The sequence below is a fragment of the Homo sapiens genome, chromosome 7, assembly GCF_000001405.40.
Source record: "Homo sapiens chromosome 7, GRCh38.p14 Primary Assembly".
Taxonomy (NCBI): Eukaryota; Metazoa; Chordata; class Mammalia; order Primates; family Hominidae; genus Homo; species Homo sapiens.
The window spans coordinates 56,734,817-56,737,478 of NC_000007.14; the positions used below are offsets into that span (position 1 = coordinate 56,734,817).

The following is a 2,662-nucleotide window of genomic DNA, read 5'->3' on the forward strand; positions in this document are numbered from 1 at the left end:
GAGGCAGGAGAATCGTTTGAACCTGGCAGACAGAGGTTGCAGTGAGCCGAGATCGCACCATTGCACTTCAGCCTGGGCGACAGGGTGAGGCTCTGTCTCAAAAACAAAACAAAACAAAAAAAAAACCCAACCAAACAAAAATTACTAGACAGGCAGGGAGCTCATGCCTGTAGTGCCAGTACTTTGGGTTTGCTTGAGCTCAGGAGTTTGACACCAGCCTGAGTAACATGGCGACATCTCATCTCTACCAAAAATATAAAAATTAGGCAGGTTTGGAGGTGCACACCTGTGGTCCCAGCTATTTGGGGGGCCGAGGTAAAAGATCAATTGATCTGGGAGGTCAAGGCTGTAGTGAGCCATGATCACACCAGTACACTCCAGCCTGGGTGACCAAGCGAGACCTTGTCTCAAAGAAAAAAAAAAAAAAAGTAAAAACAAAACACAGTATGCCAAGCTGTTCTAAACAGTTAACATTTCTTTTTTTTTTTTTTTTTTGAGACAGAGTCTTGCTCTGTTGCACAGGCTGGAGTGTGGTGGTGTGATCTCAGCTCACTGCAACCTCCGTCCCCCGGGTTCAAGCAATTCTCCTGCCTCAGCCTCCCGAGTAGCTGGGACTACAGGCGTGCACCACCACGCCCAGCTAATTTTTGTATTTTTAGTAGAGACAGGGTTTCACCATGTTGGCCAGGATGGTCTTGATCTCCTCACCTCATGATCCACCTGCCTCGGCCTCCCAAAGTGCTGGGATTACAGGCATGAGCCACTGCACTCGGACCAACATATTTTTTACTTTTGTGGGGGTTTATTTTTGTTGTTGTTTTTTGTTTGTTTTTTTGAGACAGAGTCTCACTGTCTCCCAGGCTGGAGTGCAGTGGCACAATCTCGGCTCACTGCAAGCTCTGCCTCCCAGGTTCTCACCATTCTCGCGCCTCAGCCTCCCAAGTAGCTGGGACTACAGGCGCCCACCACCATGCCTGGCTAATTTTTTTGTATTTTCAGTAGAGACGGGGTTTCACCATGTTAGCCAGGATGGTCTCGATCTCCTGACCTCGTGATCCGCCCGCCTCTGCCTCCCAAAGTGCAGGGATTACAGGCGTGAGCCACGGCACCCGGCCACTTTTGTGTTTTTTATTTTTTGAGAAGGAGTCGCCGAGGCTGGAGTACAGTGGGCATCTCGGCTCACTGCAACCTCCGCCCCCTGGGTTCAAGCAATTCTCCCACCTCAGCCTCCTGAGTAGCTGGAAGTACAGGTGACCACCATCATGCCCAGCTAATTTTTGCATTTTTTTTTTTTTTAGGACAGATGGGGTTTCACCATGTTGGCCAGGCTGGTTGAACTCCTGATCTCAAGTGATCCACCACCTCGGCATCCCAAAGTACTGAGATTACAGGCATGAGCCACTGCGCCTGGCATTTATTTATTTATTTATTTTACAAAAGTTTATTCTTAAATGTACAACAGCTCCAAGACAACACTTAATTCCAGCTATAGGTGGCAAAAGGTGTTATGGCAGGGAATACAGATGTTTCAATATGGATGAAATAAAGGGTTACCATTTCCTCAGGCACAAGCAACAGCTCACTTTTTGGCAAATTTCTTAATTCCACCTGTGGCCAGGGGCCACTTCCCCACGGCCTTCATGTTTAGCTCCTCGAGTTTCTTCTGCTCCTCTTTTTGTTTCTGCTTGAAAGCCTTATCTTCCTCGTCCTTCTCCTTGGCCTGCTTCTTGGGCTGTTTCAGGGCCTTCTTCTTGCCACCTTTGCTGCCAGACATGGTGCCTGCCATCCATTCCCCACCCATGGCCTTTGTGTTTTATAAATATATAGAGATGGGGCTTTGTCATATATATATATATATATATATATATATATATATATATATATATATAATAACGAAACTCCTAGAATAAGTTTAGTGCTTAATATCTGGTTTCCTAGAATTATGAAAATAATCTATACTTTAAGCAAATTCATGTGACATCACTAAATTTTACATACGATGATAAAAACTTCAGAAGTACAGAAAAGGAGTTACTACTTAAAACTACGGGCCAACATTTGAGGAGGCTAAGGCAGGAGGATTGCTTGAGCCCAGAAGTTCAAGATCACCCTGAGCAACACAGTGAAACCTGGTCTCTTCAAAAAATTTTTAAAATTAGTCAGGCTTGGTGGCACACAATTGGTGGCACTCAGGAGACTGAGGTGGGAGGATCACATGAGCCCAGTAGGTTTTGGCTGCAGTGAGCAGCTGCTGCACTCCAGCCTGGGTGAAAGAGTGAGACCCTGTCACAAAAAAATATAAACAAACAAAGAAACAAAACTACGGACCAGGAACGGTTGCTCATGCCTGCAATCCCAACAGTTTTGGAGGCCGAGGCAGGAGGATCACTTGAACCCAGGAGGTGGAAACCACCCTGGGAAACATTTCAAGACCCCTCCTTTATATTAAAAAACAAATTTTTTAAATTAAAAAATAAATATGGCCGGGCACGGTGGCTCGTGCCTGTAATCCCAACACTTTGGGAGGCTAAGGTAGGCGGATCACCTGAGGTCAAGAGTTGGTAACCAGCCTGGCCAACATGGTGAAACCCTGTCTCTACTAAAACTACAAAAAATTAGCTGGGTGTGGTGGCACGCACCTGTAGTCCCAGCTACTCAGGAG

The 2,662-nt window shown here is 46.1% G+C and overlaps 1 pseudogene; it reads right to left on the bottom strand.

Moving 5' to 3' along the window:
• LOC728416 (translation machinery associated 7 homolog (S. cerevisiae) pseudogene) lies at positions 1,394 to 1,796 on the bottom strand (annotated as a pseudogene).